Source organism: Homo sapiens, chromosome 13 (assembly GCF_000001405.40).
Source record: "Homo sapiens chromosome 13, GRCh38.p14 Primary Assembly".
In the NCBI taxonomy this organism is placed as follows: domain Eukaryota; kingdom Metazoa; phylum Chordata; class Mammalia; order Primates; family Hominidae; genus Homo; species Homo sapiens.
This window is the reverse complement of record NC_000013.11, coordinates 109795850-109817140: the sequence shown is the minus strand read 5'-3', so window position 1 is coordinate 109817140 and position 21291 is coordinate 109795850. Positions and strand designations below refer to the sequence as shown.

Sequence of the window (21291 nt, the reverse complement as noted above, 5' to 3'; positions counted from 1 at the left end):
GTTTCCACAATAACCAATCTCCTTTAATTCCTCTTCTTTTTTTATACTGACTGGCGGTGAGTAATGGGCAAAGGATCTTAGAAATGATTTTGGCTACTCTTTGCAAATCCTGTGGTTTTTCCCATTAGGGGAGAGGGCGATCCTGCCCCACTGTCCCCAGCCTCCAAGCCTCCACTGAATCTCTGAGGCACCAGGGAAGCTCAATTTAATACTGCATTACAATGATTTCAGCTGAGGTTGTATCTGTTGCAAACAAAGAAGTTCGGACATGTGACCTCCTGTTTCTCATTCATTCCGGAGGCCTTTGGGTCCATTTCTATAGATACTTTTTTCTCCCTGGAAGGCCCCTGTAAATGCCAGGTTTATTACTGCCATGTTTTGATTCCCTGCCATTCACTTGGCATCCCCCAGGAATTCCCTTCTGCATATGCAGAAGTCCTGAATATTCTCTTCCCCTGCTCCTTGGCAACAAGTGTGTGCATGAGTAAACAAGTCCACACAGGAATCAATATGCTGCCTTCTCCTGATGGACGCAGGCCAGTAATTTTCCATGTGAAAGTTCATGACCAATTTTCACCTTTGCTAATAATCAAACCACTTTCCCTACCCACACAGACAAGCGTGCATCTGTCTCTACAAACACATATGCAGCATAAAGAGGTGAACCACATTAAACAACAATCAAAAAGATGGTGGGAACCCTCAAAGAAAAACGAAGGAGAAGAAAATAGGAGCATTCTTTGAGAAAAGACAATAAAACACAGACACTACAGTAAACAAATGTAGAGCTCAGTGAATTGTTATAAAGCCAATGCTTTTGCAACAGCTACTAGGTCAGTGTATTCAACGGTACAAGCTGCCCGGAAGCCTCTCTCTGTGTCCATATCCCAACCACATGCTCTTCTCTCCCTCCAAAGTAACCACTACTCTCTTTTATATGAATCACTTTCTTGCCTTTTTTATTGTTGCACTTAGATTTGACATGTTTTTAAATCTACACCCACTCTATTCCATTATTTTTCTCATGGATCACCTGTTGAGGAATTGGGCCATTTATCCTGTAGTGTTTCCTACAGACTAGATCTTGCTGATCGCTGATAGCATGCAGCATTATCCAGTGCCTTCTCTGTGCAGCTGGATTCAGAGGTTTGATCAGATTCGGGTCCCTTTCCTTTGGCAAGACTGCAGGTGGCATTGTGCTCGCCCCTCAGGAGACACAGGATGTCTGCTTTTTCTCCTTTCTTGAAATAACCGTCATTGGTGATCAAGGTCAAGATGCATAGATTCATCAGGGATTGCGAAATGCTTATATTCTAATTCTGTGTTTGTTTTTATTTATTAGCTGGAATAAATATATAAGGGGACATTTCCCTTCATTTAATTTTTGGCTTCCCTATGGTACAGTTAATATAAGATAAGCAAAAAAAGTGCTTTATTCTTCCTTTTATTTATAAATATTTCAAGATAATGAACTCATTACTTATCCTCTTCTGAAAGCAACCAAAATTTTAAGATACCATTATGAACACAGGGATGTAAACCTATGTGACATATGTCAGTCCATACCTTCTTGGACCTGGTACAGAATTTGCCTTTGCTCTGAAGTCCACTCAAAATGGTAGTTACAAGAGGCACCACATATATGGATCAGAACCATTCCCCATTTGGACGCATGCTGCTTCCAAAACCCAGAGAGCTGTGCTGATTCTTAGCAGTAGGAGGTGCAATTCCAATCTTACTCTCTACCTTAGAGTGGATGTCTAGTAGCATGCTTTAGATGACTGGAGAGGAAGAGCTCTGCTGATGTGAACTTTGTTGTTTGAGTCTTCGTAAGGGCTATCTTACACGCATGATTCTAGGGTGCCACTTGCCAGACATTTTGGCAAGTCCAATGGGCAAGTCTATTTTCATCAATATGGTAGACCAGTATGACATTCTGCATGTACAACATCAAAATGATAGTGATTCCTGTAGATTACATCATAACAAAGACATCAGTATTCATACAATTCTTTGATGTGACAGTGAACACACTACTATGTTTCCATCATAAAAGCAAACTGCTTTTGATCCTCCTTCTAATGGGGATTATGAAAAATGCATTTACCAGATCAATAACTGCACACCAAATGACAGAGATTCTGATAATCTATTCCTATAAAGTGACTATCTCTGGCACAGGTGCTGTGATTAGGACCACCTGGTGAGTTAAACTGTGGCGGTCCATTCACTATCACCTGCTGCTGAAGGGGCCACAGCAGTGAATGGGATGGGAATGTAGTGAAGGCTGACATATCCTCATCCTGTCAATCTTATGTTGGATTTAATTTCTCTAATTCCAACAATCATGAGCATAGCTTCTGGTTTACTATGTAGGCCAAAAGGAGGATGTAGATTTAGGAGTTTCCATTTGCCTCTTTCTACCAAGATGGCTCTTTCTCTACAGGTCAGGGTGCTAATTTGGGGGTTCTGTCAGCTGCTAAATCCAGGGTTTCTCAATACCAGATCAATTGAGATTTTGGTCTGAATAACTCCTTGTCCTGGAGGCTGTCCTGTGTGTGGAAGGATGTTTAGCAGCATCTCTTATTTCTACAACAGGTACCAGTAGCACCCCATCCCCAAGGCCCCAGGTGAGAATCAAAAATGTCTCCAGATATTGCCAAATGTCCCCTGGGGGACAAAATCACTCCCAATTGAGAACCACTGTGCTAAATATATCTACCCCAATTATACACCCAAAAACTGGGGCAATTAACACAATGTGTGGGTCCTTGTAGCCACTAAACTTGCAGGGACTTTGGTGAAACACCTGGCCTCATTACCCCCACTGCAATCACAGGGGCAAGATGGTGACTTCGGTTTCCTAGTAGCAGTGTCTGTTAAAGCTCTATACCCAAAAGTTATCAAAAGAGCGGAGCATTTCTCTTTTCCCAGTGTGCCATTGCCATTGAACCACAGCTGGTGACTTTGGGAAGATTATTTACAGAATATTCTGGGGCGGTGGGTCTTTTCTCAAAGGTGCACTGTCTCCCCTTCAAATCAGAGGGCTCTGGGTCAGTGAAGTGGCCCAGACCTACAGCCTGGACAAGGGCCACTACTTCCCCCTGAGGAGGCTGATGTGAGTCTGCCCCTCCCCTTTCCCTTCTTCCAGTTATGAAGCCACAGGCCCATGTGTCCTGTCCATCAACATCATCCCTCAACACCATGATCAGTTATCTACTGTCACCTTGCCTTTCCATTCAAGGCCCCTGCTTGCCACCTGGCCCCACTGCTCATTCCCATAATTATGTCTACCTGTTGATTAGGTGTCACTGCTTGGCTTCTGCCATTCCAGGATTTTAGAGTCCACTATGATGCAGGTGACATGGTTGCATCACCTCCTGTGGACTCTGCCTGGAGGAGGCATTCTACCCTGAGCTCCTCAGGGAGGTCACTTCCCCAACCAGTTCCCCCTGAGGAACAATAATCAGATGGTCTACCCTTTAGTCCCAAGTAAGAAACCCATTCCAGTATTCCTACAACTCTGAGCCTTCTGACCTGTTCCTAAATACTCTCTCCTCCTCATCCACTGCAGGGATCACACAGCCCCAGATTCGGGAAGCTGTTCCAGCAGCTACTAAAACTGGCTCCAAGGTCCTTGCCAGTCATTACGTCCTATTTCATAGATGAATGTTCTCATGGAAAAAGAATTCCCCTGTATACGTCTATTATCCATAATCCCTTCCAACACCCTGAGGACCCACTCCACATTTCTGTATCTCAGACAGGTGCATTTGCTTCCAGAATGGAAACTATTTCTCAGGTTCACCTGTTCAGAGCTCTGACCCTGGTTATTGGCCTGGAGGTAATGCATGAAGTGGTGGTGCAGTTTGAGGGTGGGCACCACCTTGTAATAGATTCCCTTCTGGCGATGTTTTCACAGTCTCTAGGAAAGGGAAGCCTGCTCTCCCCCAGTGAAGAGAGGGGTTCTGCCGGCAAGGAGCTCTAGGGAGTCTGAGAGTTCAAGTTGCTCAGGCTTATCCACCAAGGGTCTCCACCCCACTCCCAGGGACCCTCTGTTTCTCACCATGGCCTTGAATTCGGTGTAGGACAGCTGTGTCCCTGCTGCATATTCAATCTGCTTTGTAGTTCAATTAAACCTGGTGCCTAATTTTCAGCACAGTCTGCTCTGAGGCTGTAGGGAATCAGGGTTCTTTGAAGACTTGCATGGCAGCCTTCTGGCTTTCCCAGTATAATTTTGTTGACAGTTGGCAAAGCTGAGTTTGCTTAATCTTTTAAGGCTCCCATATAAGTTAAACAAAATACAACCAACTCCATGAGAGTTTTAAATAACATTGTTCTATATTGTTTGATAGTCATAGTTACAAAAAAATAAACATTAAAAACCCTCAGTGCTTTCCCTTCTCCTTGCCTTCAAATCGGAGGGCTCTGGGCCAGTGGAGTGGCCCAAACCTACAGCTTGGATGAGGGCCACTACTTCCCCCTGAGGAGGCTGATGTGAGTCGGCCCCTCCCCTTTCCCACAACTCTGGGCCTTCTGACCCATGACATGCTAATGCACCGCAGGCGAGAGCCTCCGGCAAGTATGAAGCTCCTGCACTTCCAGGGCTCACCCCTACTCCACTTCCTACCTGCAATGAGGTCCTTCCTCTTTTTCACTTAGAAAGGAATTTTTATGGGTAGGCCGTAGGTGTATATATTTATGAGATACACGAGAAACTTTGAAACAGGAGGCAATGTGCAACAGTCACATCCGGGGAATGGGGTACCCATCACCTCAAAGATTCATCATTTCTTTGTGTAATGAACATCCCAACTGTACACCCTCAGTCATTCTAAAATGTGTAACAGATCATTGCTGACGGTAGCCACCCTGTTGTACTATCAAGTGCTAGATCTTATTCATTGAAACTAACTATATTTTTGGATCCATTGGCCATCACTGGGGTCCTTGTCATCCCCTGACTAGTGAACCACCCGCTTTCAGAATCCCGTACTGAGAGTGTGTGTTCTACGGCTATCCTGGCTCCGACTTTCTTGGCCTCTGTTCTGCTGAAAGCAGAGGTGGAGACCAGGGCTTACCTAGTTCTCGTTTATGTGGTATCTGTTCCCAGGAGGCAGGAATGAGAGGATGGAGGGCGCAAAGCAGAAGAGGGAGAACGTCCACCCAGAGAGGACATCCAAGTGGCCGCACCATGAGCAGCTGGTGCCTGAGCCCGTGGGGACCTTCTGAGAGGCCGTATCCATTCTGCCACAGGAACTGGCTGGTCACATGGAAAAGGCGGATGTCTGTGTCCATCACTCTCACCCTCCACCGCCTGAGAGCTGCCCACGGTGGGTGAACCCCTCCCACTTTCATGCAGCATAAGGACTCGGGAGCACTGAGAAGGCTTTTCTTTACATCTTCAGTGTCAAAAATCCCAGGGAAAGAGCAAGAGATGAGTGGTAAACTTTCAAGCCGAGGTGCTGTCGGCATGAGGGGAGTTGCAGCCTCACAGAATCTTCCACACTGCTGCGCTGGAGTCAGAGGGGAGGGGAAGGGATGTGGGACATGCACAATACCACGCGGCTGCTATGAGGGACCAGGATGGGGACACACATCCAGAGGAGGGGGACACACGGCCAGGCCAGGGGCAGGGAAGGGGACACACAGCCAGAGGAGGGGGACACACAGCCAGGCCAGGGGCAGGGATGGGGACACACAGCCAGAGGAGGGGGACACACGGCCAGGCCAGGGGCAGGGATGGGGACACACAGCTGGTGCAAGGGGCCGGTATGGGGACACACAGGCAGGCGAGAGGCTGGGACGGGGACACATGGCCAGGCAAGGGGAAGGGACGGGGACACACAGCAAGGTGAGGGGCTGGGACGGGGGACACACAGCCAGTGTGAGGACACACAGCAAGGCAAGGGGCCGGGATGGGAGTGCGCGGGGCTGAGATGGGAATACACAGCCAGTGTGAGGGGCTGGGACAGGGTCCAGGCTGGGCTCCTACATGCCCATCCAGGGTGGACTTGGTAGCACCATCCCCAGCACAAATCTTTCACCTCTAGGTCTAAAGTGGTGGCTCTGGGTCCCACGGACACAAGTGGACTCAGCCAGAGGTGTGTTCTCATGCCCATTCCACACAGGACGGTGACATGAGAGGGCAGCTATTCGCACCCCCTCAGCTGGAACTCAGTGACTCAGGCATGTCTAAGCTCCAAAGGCAGCAGGCGAGAGCCTCAGCCGGCTTAGCCAGGGGCTTGTGGGCTTTCCTGACACCCTGAGAAAGAAAGAACAGGAGAATGGATGTCGGTGGACGCGGACAGCAGGACCCGCAGCCGGAGCAAGGCTGGGAAGGAATGCTGGCAGCAGGCACCTGCCATACTGTGTCCAACAGAGGAGTGCTCTTTGACAGCTTCGGAGGGTAGTGATGCCAGTCCTGCTCAGACAGGGAGGACTCGAGGGAGTTAATAAATTGGGCTATGGGCCTTTAAGATTGATGGAATCCCTTCATTTTTATCAATGTGGTCTCATTGCAAGGGAATTGGAGTTCTCTCTTTTCCATACTCAGCTCAATCTTTTGCCTGTTGACACCTCTCATCTTCTCTCAGGCCAATCCTCCTTTTGGGTTATAGCAGAATCTCATAATCATTTTTCTTCCATTCTACCAAATTGCCTGTGCAAGATAGAGTAGCTGTTCCAAAGACTTCAGACAAAGAACAATAGCTTAAAAATATTTATACTTGAGTCAATTTTTAAAATAAATGTGAAGCCAGGCATTTCCAGGAACCCTCTTAGCCCGGTCATACTGGGTAGCAACAGACCGAGCCAAATGCTGGGAGCAGGGCATGGATGGAGGGAGGGGCTGCTGGAACCCACGGACACAGTCCAACCAAAGACATCTAGTGGCTTTCCGCAGGGGGCATCTGTCGGGTGTTTTGGAAGCATCCAAACAACAACCACGTCTGTGGACCGGGGCATCTGCGAGGCAGGATCTTCTGTGGTCTGGTTGCCATCTTGCCCCCGAAGAGGATCTATCATTCTCTAAAACCCCAAGCTCTCCTGGAGCCAAACTCAGTGCCTTCAAGAGCTTAGGGCTAACAGTAGCCTCAGGCTGCCCAGGAACTGCCTCCTCCTGTCCTTCCTGGTAAACATCCTCACTCAGAGCTTCTCCACAGAGGATGGCAGGGAAAGGTGCTAAGCGAGAACCTAATGCTCTAGGTCCTCGGTACATCATAAAACCATGATCATGCAGACTCTTATGTCTATGTCCAATTCGATTGTGAGATGGCTGAGGGCACAGGCCAGGGGGTGCTCTCACACTCCTCCCTCCTCCAGGGCGGGGCACAAAGTGCTGCACACAGGAGGCCTGCTGCTGCTCTCTTTGCTTAGCTAACAATGAGAACACGAGAGGAGTGAGTTTTGGGCCAGATTTCCTGATTAGCAGCTGCAAACATTCTGGAGCTGCGTCATGCCTATGTGCACCACATCACTCCACACATACGCTGTGCACTCCCAGGCATCCAGCCTCTGCACAGCCTGTTCCTTCTGCCCAGGTGGCAATTCCTTACTTCTTTCTCTTATTACAATTCCAGGCTCCTACGTATCTGTCCGCTGATCTCAGTATAGATAGAGCTTCCCCTAGGAAGCATATTCTAAATCCTAAGCCCCGGGGAAGGGCTTCTCTGATGGTCTCCCATGGATCTCCATACCCACTCCTAAAATAGACATGTAATCACACAGCCACTTCTCCAGGACCTCTGACCGAAACCTTGTCAAGTCAGGGACCACGTTTGTCTGCTCTCTGCGGTGTTGGGCACCCACACTGTGCCTGGGCACAGCAGATGCCCCATGGATGTTTGTTGGATGAATATACAAAAATGACGGTTACCACTTAGTGAGTGCTTATCAAGTGTCGAGTTCTGTGCCTGCCTCTCCACATAAAGTATCCCAATTTTTAAAACAGTCTTATTAGGTAGACATTACCATGCTATATTTGAAGACAAGAAGAACAAAGCCCAGAGAGATTTTAAAACTTTTCTAGAGTCCCATGCCCAAGAAATAGTAGAGATGCAATTTTGACCTTGGTCCTTTGAAAAGGAAGTGTGTTCTTTCCACCACTGGTGACTGTGTAAGCTACGGAGCCAGCAGCCAGATCAACTCGTCCCTGCTGCTTTTTGAGAGATGGGCTTAAGTAACCTCCTTCCCTTGTAGTCTACACTGATGTTTCCAAAACAGCAGACATGAATTTCAAGAAGGCACAACTCAAATCTTATTTCCCCATGAACTGTTTTCCTTTGCATATTCATAATTTATTTTTCACAACTCGTGGTTTTGTAATTGAATGTATACTGTCTTAATTCATTGCACACTCATTTCTTATTTACATAGGGCATATCCTTGAAGAGCATTTAAATGAATGAGGCTTGCACTTCTGTTCTTACATGAACCCCAGGTGCTCAGATGGCTGTGGTTGTCAGGAGGAGACAGAGTGGGGTGTAGAATCATCAGAAACAACCGTTAGTGGGACAGGGCGTCCAACTTTCTCTCATGCCACAGTCAGGACCTCACATTTAAATGCTTCCATCAAAGGGACAAAAGCAATTGATTCTATTTGTCTTCTTCTTGAGGCCACGGGATACACTTTGGAATCAAGAAAGTGGTCCCCCAAGCATAGCTCGAAACCAGAAATGAGCTGCTAGGCCTTGGGTTTGACGGTGTTTCGGATAACTGGGAGCTGCCTGCAGCAGAAAGAGTGCTCCCTTCAGGGGAACGGACAGCCAGGATGGTCTCAGGATGCCTTAACTTTCCTAATGAGGTGCCAAGGCCGTCGCGGATGCCAACTGAGGGGTAAGGCAGGTGTTGGCCCACAGCTGTCCATGCCAGACTCCTGGGGTCCATGGAAATCCCTCCAGAACAGTCCCTGGCTATGCAGCCTCAGTCCTGTGCTTAGCAGCAGATTGTCAGTTGAGCATAATGAACGTTGAACCGTAGGAACTTTTGGAGCTCGGGAGATGCAGAGGCTGTGGCCCCGGCCCTCAGTGACAGCAGACGGCGTCTTTGGGAGGCTTGGGTGGGGGGGGGACTCCTCACACGCTATGCCAGGCTGCTTCTGTGCACCGTGTCAGAAGCTCCACCTGGGCTCTCGCAGGATTTGCAAACTTGATCTGCAAAAGGTCAGAGAGTCAATATTTGGGGGTTCGTGGACCATATGGTTTTTGTCAGAACCACTCAACAGGTGGGTTGGAGCCAGGATTCTAACTCAGGTTTATTTGACTCTAAATCCTCTGAGCTCTTCCCTATGGTTACCCTGATAAAATAGTGACTGCTCACACCTTATATGCCATATATGCCAGACATTGTAAGCACAGTTCAGAAAATTAACTTATGTGATCCTCAATAATTTAATTTACTTGAACCTTTCTATGAGATAGGAATTGGCCTTATCTTCATTTTAGAAATGAGGAAACTGAGGCACAGAGAGTTTAAGTAACTTTCCTGCGGACACACAGCTAACGGTGGTGGTGCTGGGATTTGAACCCTGGCAGACTGCCTAGGAAGTCTGGGCCCCTATCCACTACACTAAAACAGAGGTGAATCAGATGTCCACAATAAAAGACACTGTATAATTGAATGCATAGCTTGGTGACCAGGACTCAAAGCGACTTCAGAGTTTAGGGGGGAGTCCATCTGGAACAGGCCCAAAGTACCCCCCAGCCCCATGAAAGGAGGACAGATATGACAGAGGAGGGCAGGAGAGGACAGCACCAGTCCCTGTGGAACCAGGCAATTTGCTCCTTGTCCAGACACTTTGCATCTAACCCATAACCAAAATTTATCGAGCACTTACAATATGCCTTACTCAATTAAGCACTTTCATTTCTCTAGAAGACAAATTAATCTGTTTTACTACATAGATAATCAGAGAATATTAAAACTAAACAAGGCTTTAAAAATCACCTAGAGGGGTCCAGCTCAGAGCAGGGGCCGGAGTTACAATCTGAAGACCAGGCTGTGGAGGCTGCACCACCGTCTGCCGAGAGGCTTGGCAGGTGGGATTTCTCTTGCTCAGGTGGCAGACAGTCCAACTCAAACTGGCCTACATCAAAAAAATGGAGACACATTGGCCACATGCTGAAAGGTCTGGCGGTGAACTCAATATGTTTACACACAATGGCATGATCTGGGCTCACTGCAACCTCCGCCTCCCAGGTTCAAGCAATTCTCCCGCCTCAGCCTCCCGAGTAGCTGGGATGACAGGCATTTGCCACCACATCTGGCTAATTTTTATTTTTTATTTTTTTGTATTTTTAGTAGAGATGAGGTTTCACCATGTTGGTCAGGCTGGTTTCGAACTCCTGACGTTAGGTGATCCACCCGCCTCAGCCTCCCAAAGTGCTGGGATTACAGGTGTGAGCCACTGCGCCTGGCCAGCAACTCATTTTTAAAGAAATTACAATCAATAATCAGCCCTATAATGTACTGGACATTTGGGTGATGAGAAAATTGAGACACACAGAGGACAAGGTGCTGGCCAGGGTGACTTAATAGAGTGGAAAACCACTGTTTTCAGGATGCCAGCACCCATTCCCACCTTGTGAAGACACTGACATTTGCTTCAAGAGAATGGCTCTGACACCACAATTTGAAAAGCATCCTATAATTCATTGCTAGGTCAGGTGACAAAGACTCAAAATGGCCTGGGAGGATGAATCCACTCCAGCACCAGGGATGGCTTGTGTCCTAGACCCATCGAACAAGCACAGAACCTCTGTCAGCCGGTCAGAGACAGCGAGTCAGCTCCAGACCTTCTGACTGAGGTACTGGGGTAGTATTTTCTGATTCTCTCTCTCTCTCTGTTCAGCTGGTGGTTGAGAAGCAATAGAGCTCAAGCACCCAGGGCTACAACTGGAGGCTGCAAAAGGGTGCAGCAGAGCCACAGATGTGGGTAAGAAATGGAGACAGAGAGCCCAGATTCCAGGGGCCGCGGCTTGTGCTGTATAGTGTTTCACTTTGTGAATATATTCTAACTTTTTGTCTGTTCTATTTTTGATGGATATTTAGCTTGTTATAGTCCTTGCTACTATTGAAATAGTGCCAGGAATATTTTTGTACATATTCTTTGGTAAAAATAAGTACCCACTTACGCTGGATATTTACTAATGCCTACAGAAGAATTTAAATCATGACAACTTTATGAATAACAAAATTTGCCAAAATATTATTTATAATTGAAAAAATAATAAAGATCAACAGGGAAATGATAGGTCATTAAATACACAGTCTTGGGAAGAAGTGTTTTGATTTTTATTTTCACCATTTATCAAAATAAAAGCATTAAATACATAAGGACATAATAAATTCTAAGAAAGCATAAGCAACACCAGACAAGGAAGAAATTTCTAAGTGTGAAAATGTATTAAGTAAACCACAATGGAAAAATTTTGAGTACATAGCAATTTTAAACTTCTGTGGGCCAACACATATAATTAACAAAATTATAACTTATCTAATGATTCAGAAAAATATTTATAACAAATACATCACAAAGGTTTAATAAACTTACTATAATCTAAATTCACATAAATTGGTGATAAAGACATTACCAAACCAAGAAAAGTTAGCAAAACTGTAGAAATGGATTTACACCTGTGCTTAATAATGAAAACACTTCAACATTTCTAGTAATCAAAGGAGAGAGGATTGAAACATGGGGACATAATTTTGCACTATCACGAGGTACAAATATTTAACACTATTAAAACAGCGCTGAAGAGAATGGGGAAAAAAGAGGCACGGTTATATGCTATTGGGCTAACTTCTGCAGGAAGCAACTCAGCAATATACATGTGAAGCTTAAAAACATGCAGAACTTCTGAATCCGTATTTCTACACTCAGGAATCTGTTCTTCCCCAGTAATAATGCGAAACACAAACAAAATAAATGTATACCATATTCATCAAACCAGCATTTATCATTGAAAGAAATAAGAAAAAAAGCAATACCTAACAATAAAAAAGTAGAGAAAAATGACTATTGACCATGTGATGGAATATGATGCAACCATTAAACGATGGCGGTCATTAGGTTATGCAGAGCAAGGTCAAGTGGCCAAGTGGCATGAGCATCACCACTCCTGCAGCAGCCTGGGCAGCTTCCACTGGGCAGAACAGACCCAGGATGACAGGCCCGTAGTATAGGACTCCATTGTCCATCACACCCCACCCCGCTAGGTAGCAGCAGTCCAGCCAGTGCAGATGTCTGTTGCCTGGAGAGAGTCTGATGCCTGAACTGCAACCTCCAAACCGCGAGATGGGGAGTGTCACTGGGGTGTCTTCAGGACCTTGGATAACTCCAGTGAGGCCGTAAGATTAGAGATGGCACCAGGAGACAGTGGGAGACGGTTGTCCACCCGCAATTGAAATAAGGACATTTCTCATCGCTTCACAGGGAGTGAAGGTGTCTGTGGGCTCGTCAAGTTGAGTAAGAAAGAAAGATAGATGTGGAGGAGGGACACAGGCTAGGGGAGAGAAAAGCTGGAGATACCAACTGATAAAAGAGTCCCCTTAGAGACAAATGTATGTGTTTGTATGTTGAACCAGACACTGAGGGGCTAGGCATTCTTCTTTGGCAGACAGGAGAATGTAAAGCAAGAGGAAGAGCAGTTACAATTCCTGTGATCCTATCTTTCACTTCATGTTGTGCTGAGCTAACAGACATGTTCTGTGTTCCAAAGAAAGAGAAAAAGAAAAGGAATCACGTTACCTAACTCACTGTTGAGATGAAAAGGGAGTGGATGGCGGGCAACTGGGACGAGCAAGTTTCTTTGCTGCTGCCCTTCGCTTCAACCGAGCTGTTTTTATGGCTTTATTATGTAAGTTAAAGTTTTTAAGAAGTTAAATGAGTGGCAAAAATCAAGCAGAATTTGTGGCAATTTTAAATGTTCTTTCAAAGGTGTGCATGGTGGGGATAATAACATTTATATAGTGATTTCATGCATATTATCCTTTTTATTCATTGCATGAACTTTACTATGATTCTGATGTCACAGGTGAGTAACTAAATGTTCAGGAATGTTATCTGCCGCAGGATCAGGGCAGCCACACTGTACACAGCCAGGGAGCCCTGTTCATAGTGTAGTATTTGTGGGTGGTGCTCCTGAAGTTGTGTGTGGCTTTATGTGGCACTCCTGACCAGCCAGAAGTAAATGGCAAAAGGTGCCTCTCAAAACTAGGTTCTTTGTCATCTCCTCCCAGGGTGTCACATTACTGAAATATGCTAGTTAAGGAAAGGAGGATTTCTCTTCTATCCTTTGTTTTCCCATACTACAAAATACAATTCATACTGCAAATAAGCTTCCATTCCTACATGATTTATTGAGGAAATAAGTCATCCTTTTAGGGTTCAATATCTTTAAATTTTTAAGCAGCTTCTTTGAAATGTATTTTATTTGGTATTGCTATCTATTGCTGTGACACTGTATTTACATCAAATGTCATTTAAAGACTATACATAAAATAGTTACATGTTCTTTCTAGTACAAAAACAAAGAATGAACCATAAAAAAGGTTTTTAGATAGAATTCAAAAAAAAATTGAAAGCCTCTGGTTTTCCCTTTTGGGCAAAACGTCTAGTCTTGATGCCCTGAAAAATCTCTGCTATAAAAGACCTCTAAGGTATAAAATAAAATAAAAATCCACATCCTTTTAAGTTCATAATGACCTCGCAAGAGTGTAGGAGAAATCCCAGGGGACAAAACAAAAGGGGGCACACACATCGTGGAAAGGCGGTGCAAGGAACGACGGCTCTGGGGGAACCTGGTAATTTCCCTACACCTTGTGCTGCGGTTTCAGTAGCCCCAAAAGGCAGAAGACAACATGGAGGCTCTTGGAAGGGAAGAGTCTCCCAGGACCTTCTCATGCAGCCAGAAACTCCAAGAGCCATGCTGAGTGAAAGGACAAACACACAAAGTCTCTGCCCTTCAAAGGGAGAGAAGGTGACTTCAATATCTAGGCACAAAGGTTGGAAGTCAGCAAACAAACCAACAGATGATGACTCAGCCATACAGCTCCACAGCCAGATGCTGGAACTATCAGACGCTGAGCCCTTCTCTCAAGGTCCTTTTTAAGGGGAACGCAAAGTTAAAGAACGACCAAGTTAAATCTATTCCAGAAATGTAAATTTTGTTTAACATTGAAAAATCAATTAATATAGTTAGCCCTACTTATAAATCAAACTAGAAAGGCGTAAGATCACCTCAGTAGGCACTAAAAAATATTTGATTAATTTTTATATCCATTCAGCTTAAATTCATTGGCATAATGGGCTAGAGGAGAACTTCTTTAAACTGAAAAAAATTGAACCTACCAAAATCTTAGCACAAACATGGTACCACATGGTAGAATCTGGAACATTCCCTTTCAAAAAGGATTAAAACAAGGTTGCTTTTACAGCATACATTGGTGGCTCTAGCCAGTTCAATAAGATGAGAAAATCTGTAAGCGACACATGAAATGGTATTATTTGTGTATTTATAAAATATTTCCCTCTAAACATCTTTAAAGCATTAAAATTAATATGAGGGTTTAACAAAATGATCAGATATAAGATAAATTAAAAATTGATTTTATTTCTCTACCCAAGCAACAAAGAGAAAATGTAGTTTTTAAAAATGGATACTGGCCGGGCGCGGTGGCTCACACCTGTAATCCCAGCACTTTGGGAGGCCGAGGCGGGCGGATCACGAGGTCAGGAGATCGAGAACATCCTGGCTAACGCGGTGAAACCCCGTCTCTACTACTAAAAATACAAAAATTAGCCGGGCGTGGTGGCAGGTGCCTGCAGTCCCAGCTACTCGGGAGGCTGAGGCAGGAGAATGGCGTGAACCCGGGAGGCGGAGCTTGCAGTGAGCCAAGATCGTGCCACTGCACTCCAGCCTGGGCGACAGAGCGAGACTCCGTTTCTAAAAAAAAAAAAAAAAAAAAGGATACTTTTTACAAGAGTAACAAAATATATAAGGTGCTAGGAATAAATCTAACAAAATATTTTAAAGATCTCTATGGGGAAAATTATAAAACGTTATAAAAAGACATTTTACAATTCCCTAAAGAAATAGGGAAACGTGCCACATTCCTGGCTAGGAGAACTCAGTACCTTAAAGATGTCCAATCTTTCTAATTTTATCTCAGTCCTAACAAGGTTTATTAAACTTGTCAAGCTGATGCTAAATCATAAGGAAAAGAGTTACAAATATCCAAGACATTCCTGAAGGAAAGTGAAGAAGTAGGTGAAGGAAATGGTCTACCAGAAAGTGAGATTTGTTAATAAAATATAGTAATTAAGACAGTGTGGTAATAGCATAAGAAGAAGCAAAAAGAACATCGGGGAAAAGAACAGAGGGCACAGAGGCTGACTCATGCAAACCTAGAGACTTGCCGTATCTGAGAAGCACTATTCAGACCAGTGGGAAAAAGTCAAATATTTGAAACACGCCTCGGAAACAATTTAAAAAAAAACTGAAATTGAGCCACTATCAGACACCATGCACAAACATATAATGCAGGTGAATTAAAGCTAAAAAAAGAGAGAGAGAGAAAGGAAATACAGGAGTAAGTACTTGAAAATTTGGCGATAGAGAAAAAAATTAAAACAAAATGAAAAAGGCACAAAACTCAAAAGGTAAACTTGATAAATTTTACTCAGTTAAAATTTAAAATTGATGTTCATTCAAAAGAAAACATAAAGAAAATAAAAAGCAAATAATAAATTTGACAAATCGATTTTTATAAAAGATTAACACATGGCCTCTATAAACAATGACTACAATCCAATGGGAAAAATTGTAAAAGACAATGACACCTTATTGGTGGAATTTTCAATTTGTACACTTACTTTCGAAAATGATTTTTATTACACATTAAAATTAAAGGTGGACAGAATTAACACTGGCAATTCTATTCTTCTGTCTAAAACAGTGTGCCTAAGAATATATATGTATGCATAAATAATTGTTAAAAGGCACTTTAATTGTTAAAAGGTGTGTAATTGTGAAACATACTTTTTAAAAAAACAAGTCATGTTCAAATAGAAATTTTAAAAACAACTACAAATAACCTAAATTTCTATTGGCAGAAGTGAAAAACAGTTATATATTTATTACAACTGAAAAAGATGAACTACGACTTCAGAAATCGTAATACATTTCTCTCAAAAACATAACGATGAACAGGGACAGAGAGAAGACTTATGGCCGCCAGGGGTGAAGGGAGGGGAACTCAAAAGTGACTGCTGTGGGCACAAAGTTTCTTGGGGTTTCTTTTTGGGGTGATGAAGATATTCCAGACTTAGAGTGTGATGACAATTTCACAGCCTTGTGATTATACTAAAAAATATTAAGTTGTACATTTTTATGGTATCTAAGTTACATCTCAATAATAAAACCATACTGTTGAGCAAGTTGCAGAAGAATATTAATAGGATGATAATATTTGTATAATGCTTAAATTTAAGTACAATGCAAAATGTTTACATACATATCCAGTAAAATCATGAAGACAGCCAAAGGACAATAATCACAAAATTTCAGATTGTGATAAGGCTAGTCAGTGGACTTCAAAATAAATATTGGTAATGTCCTACTTTTTAGGCTTGACTATGCCAATTTTAAAGTATTATTATTTATAACTTACATATATGTTAAATATCTTTTTGTATGTGTGTACTATGTTGCACAATATAAAAATCCAATAAGTAAAAAATAAAAGTTCTTAAGGTAAATAAACTGAATTTCATCAAAAATTTGAGAGAAAAATTGGAAGAAGAGTAACAATGGATAGGTGTGAAAAATAAAAGATAATAAATACCTAGTATATTGCTGAACCAATAAGGAATTCAGAAATATTACGGCAAAAATATTTATGAGGGGTGGAAAGAAGTGAATAAGCTTGAGAGATACTAAGAATAGAAAATTGACAGAATTTGGCAATGGATTGGGATTCGGGGTGAAAACTATTGCAAGAATGATTTCCAGGTTTCCAGCTGCACAACTGGATAGATGGTGACCTACTTATCAAGGTAAGAATCACCTACCAAATAATCATTAGCAAGGGCAGTTAAATTTTTATTTGCAAGAAATTAGAAACACCAAAACGAAGCAAGTATTAAGAGGTGGTTAAATGAATCATGGTACAATGGGGTAGAAGAATGGTATGCAGCCATTAAAAATCATGTTTTAAGAGATTGATGACATCTCTTAGAATGACATCTCTTAGAATATGTGTGGCATTTCAAAATGCAATTAAAATCACCATGAGCCTCTTCAAGTCCATCTCTTTAGGACTCCGATGTTACATGGAAGGCTGCAAAATCACACATTGTATCATGCATGTGCTATGAGGTAGTCTGGGAAACTGATGAGGAAGAGAAATGTTCCTGATTGTTTGTTATGAAATAATTATGTGGCTGGGGTTAAAAGCCTCTTAGGACAATCAAGTGGCAGCTTTCACTCAGACACTTTTAATGCATTGGCAAAATGGCTTCTTTTCAAGTGCACCCCAGGTGATTCAGGGTAAAAGCTCAAAACAGCACCTTTTTGCCCAAAGCTACCTTCAGAAAGAAGGGTTGTCAATTTGCTAGAAATAATTTTTGTAATCTTCTAGGGTTATAGGCACAACATGGTTATTCTCTTTCCCTTAACTTTGGAATGCTGGAGTTTTGCATGTCTATCCCTTCTCGTCCTTTTTTCCACTTTCTCTGTTACTATCTTCCACTTTCTTTCTGTTTCATCTTTCGACACAAGAATGTCCTTTGGAATAAATATTATGTTTTTATTTGTTTATTTATAAAAGGACAGTAGTTATGGTATTGTTACTTTAACCTTCTCTGTGTAGACATAATGTCTTAATCATGGCAGTTCTATTATAGTTTTTAGGCAGCATTTACATAACATGAAATTATTCATTTTAAAATGTGCCATTCAATGACAATTAGTACTTTCTAGTGGTAGATTTTTAATACATTTATGTTTAATATACATCACTGAATAAATAAGATTGCAATGAATTAAATAGGCCTCCAAACAACAAAATGCAAATTGAAAACATTTTCTACCTTGCCAGTATGCATATTGTTTCATTCGTTAAAGGGAAATCCCTGCTTAGATATAAACTTCCTAAATTAATATAAATATCCTTACACAGTTAAATATGAGTTTAGGAAGCAAGTGTTTAGGTAGCAAGGGATAATTCATTTCCATTATATGCCATTAGCTCTTGGAAGGTAGGCTTCCAATTATGAAAAACACTGATTTCATTGAAATGAGGGTTTTCTACTCCCTAAAGAGAAAGCCATGGGAATAGGTAGTTTTATTCAAGTGACCAAGTATGGCAAGAATCACCTCTCACCTCCCTCTCTGCATTAACCCCACAGATGCAAACAGACTTCTCTCTAGTTCTAAAGATTACACACTTCATCTTAATACTGTTGGGAAATGAAGAATAAGAAGAAACAAATTCTAGATTACTACAGTAGCACATCTATAAGATGAGACTTTACAGATTAATCCTCTTTGCTGCAAAACTAGATTTTTTTTTCCTCTAAAAACTTTCATCTTTCTTTGATTGGCTTTACCTGTTTTTTTCCCTCTAACAATGGTGAAGAGACAAATTGTACTCTTCTGGAACCAAATCTTGAAATATTTAATAAATACCTAATTTATCTAAATCATGTATTTACACATATTTGTTCAGAATACGTAATATGGCATAATTTGTCATTTTTTAGTCATAAACCTCCTCTGACTCCTTCACAAAGGGCTCAGGTTTCCTTGCCTTGGCCAACTCCCTTCACCAAGAAGACTCTAGGATTGGTACTTCCAGAAACCTGGAGGCCAACTGGGACCCCTCTTCCCCTCTTCCTATACTCCCTTTTCCACCTCCCTGCTCCCAACATGCTTTGCTCTTCTCTATTCTAGGTCATTCATTCCATCACAACCTCTGGAATTTCCACATCATTACAACACAAGCTTCTTTTATCCTCAGATACCAGCTCTTCACTGCTTGAACAGAGAGGATCCGTAGGGCCCCCATCTTTGTGGCCTGTAAACCAATCTGATACAGAACACAAACGATCATAGCCAATATGTACTGGCTGTGTCTACTGTGCCAGTCAGGAGCTTTCAAAGGTCTTTAATGTGTTAATTTATGTGAACTTTTCCGTAGCCACACAAAAAGTATTTAATCAGAAAAAAATTACATAAAATTGTAATCTAAAAACATAAAAGAACAATCCTGAAAAGAGTGTGTTGAGCACTTACGATGCAGCAGGTTCTTTGAGAAAGCCTATCAAGCATAGAGAGTGAACCAAAACACACCCAGGGCAGGTTCCAGAGGCTACCAGGAATGCTCCTTGAGGAGGTGCAGTGGAGAAAGGACAGCCTGCAGGACTGAGGACCAGAAGAAAGGCCAGACCCCAGTCTCCGTCTCTATTCCAAGATGATGCCAACATCATTTGGTCTCACACGTCTAGTGGCATCTAACAGTCCTCTAATGGAGAAATCTCTGGAAAGGTCTGAGCTGAAGTCAATGGAAGGGAGGTGTTAAATGTAAATGTGTCGCATTCATTCCCAGTTGCTACATGAATGCATTCTAACAAGCTGCTAGAAAGGGAGTCAAGGAAAGGAAAGATTCTGATCCATGTTCCAAAAATGCAAAGCTGAAGAGATGTTGCAAGATGACATTCAATTTGAGGAAAAGCCCATAATGGGGCTTCTTCAGCTTTGCAAGAAAACCATGAGATTAAGAGGAATGATGGAGACCCACCATCCGGACATGATGGAAGCCCCTAGGTTTTCATACCTGGGCTCCCAGGGGCTTTGACTCAAGCAGAAAAACCTGGGGACACCCAGATCTCTGCCTCTCCCTGTAGGCACCACAGGGCCCCTGGCTGGAGCCTCTTTGCTCACTGATGACAGCTATTGCTGCACTCACCATGGATGCCAATGCAAGCAGCACAGAAAAGGGGTGCTGCAGTGCTCCTCTCAGATGCCAGGTCACACTTCCAGGCTACAGCTGAACTTGCATCTTCACAGACACCATTAAAACTCAACCTACCGGCCGGGCACGATGGCTTACACCTGCAATCCCAGGACTTTGGGAGGCTGAGGCAGGTGGATTGCTTGAGGTCAGGAGTTTGAGACCAACTCAGCCAACATGGTGAAACCCCATCTCTACAAAAAATACAATAAAGATTAGCTGGGTGTGGTGGTGCACGCCTATAGTCCTAGCTACTCAGGGGCTGAGGCAGGAGAATTGCTTGAACCTGGGAGGCAGAGGTTGCAGTGAGCCGAGATTGTGCCACTGCACTCCAGCCTGGGTGACAGAGTAAGACTCAGTCTCAAAACAAAACGAAACAAACAACTCAACCTACCATGCGTCATATTTCTGCCCACAGTAGAAGCCCTTAGAGCTATCCACTTTCTCCCATGGGGTTATCCTAACTGATGTTTTCCTTTCACCCAGCCCTTTTTCACTCCTTTACCTCCCAAACACTTCCAGTGTCTTCTCTCAAGTGTCCTTTCCATTGCAACACTACTCCCATGCTTTCTGAGTCTCAGCCTTTCCTGAAAGCTGGCTGCATCCTGGGGACACTGACTCTTCTGCTCCCGGAGGATAATGCTTATTTTGCCCCTGGATTTTCCTTCGGATTCTTCTCGTTCTCCAATGTTTCTGCTAAATAGCACTTTGAATTCATAATGCAAAGACTTCATTTATTGAAAGTTCATTCTCATGGATCCTGCCCCATCTGTCATGCCTTCTCCAGGCTGCATTCCCCTCTTCCTCACACCAGGAAACCACGCACTAGATCAACATGGCTCCCATGTCACCAGGTCCCCTGCCTGGACCACTCATCCTCGTTACCCCTGGCTGGCCAGTCCCTGCTGCAATGCTCTCTGCTGTCCACTCCCGTGGTTCTTCAGCAAGCTAGTCTGTGCCCTTTCATTGCGTTTTCTCTGCTAGATTACCTTTCTGTCCCTGACTTCTAAATGTTAAGAGTAGTTGGGTCCAATCCCAGGTGCTCCAATCTCATCTCTCACAGTCACTTTCGGCAAATCCTAGGGACTTAAATGCAGCTAGATGCCCATGAATCCCAAATTAATATCTCCATTCCAAGCCTCTCCAACAGCCTATCCAACATCTTCTCTCAGATTTCTATTATGTCCAACCTCGTGTGTCCAAAATAAATCTCTTAACTCTCCCTCCCCCATCTCAGGAGAAGACCTTGTCATCACCCAGCGACAGTGCAGGACA

The 21291-nt window shown here is 43.4% G+C and overlaps 1 long non-coding RNA gene across 1 annotated transcript, besides 2 other annotated features; it reads right to left on the bottom strand.

Annotated features, from left to right (window-relative positions):
* Nucleotides 1–8275: 8275 nt before the first annotated feature.
* On the bottom strand, nt 8276–20171 carry LOC105370360 (uncharacterized). Its single transcript, XR_931723.3, has 3 exons — nt 19972–20171; nt 9946–10084; nt 8276–9152 (listed from the first exon to the last, which is right to left on the bottom strand). It is a non-coding gene; the product is annotated as an uncharacterized LOC105370360 (long non-coding RNA).
* Nucleotides 8950–9450: an enhancer, noted in NCBI's record as "H3K4me1 hESC enhancer chr13:110460038-110460538 (GRCh37/hg19 assembly coordinates)". NCBI's record gives its function as "activates a minimal SCP1, AML or CMV promoter by ChIP-STARR-seq in primed H9 embryonic stem cells {active_cell/tissue: H9 hESC(primed)}" and the evidence as "EXISTENCE:reporter gene assay evidence [ECO:0000049][PMID:30033119]".
* Nucleotides 13825–14119: an enhancer, noted in NCBI's record as "tiled region #11013; HepG2 Activating DNase matched - State 8:EnhW". NCBI's record gives its function as "activates a minimal TATA promoter and a strong SV40 promoter by Sharpr-MPRA in HepG2 cells {active_cell/tissue: HepG2}" and the evidence as "EXISTENCE:reporter gene assay evidence [ECO:0000049][PMID:27701403]".
* Nucleotides 20172–21291: the final 1120 nt, after the last annotated feature.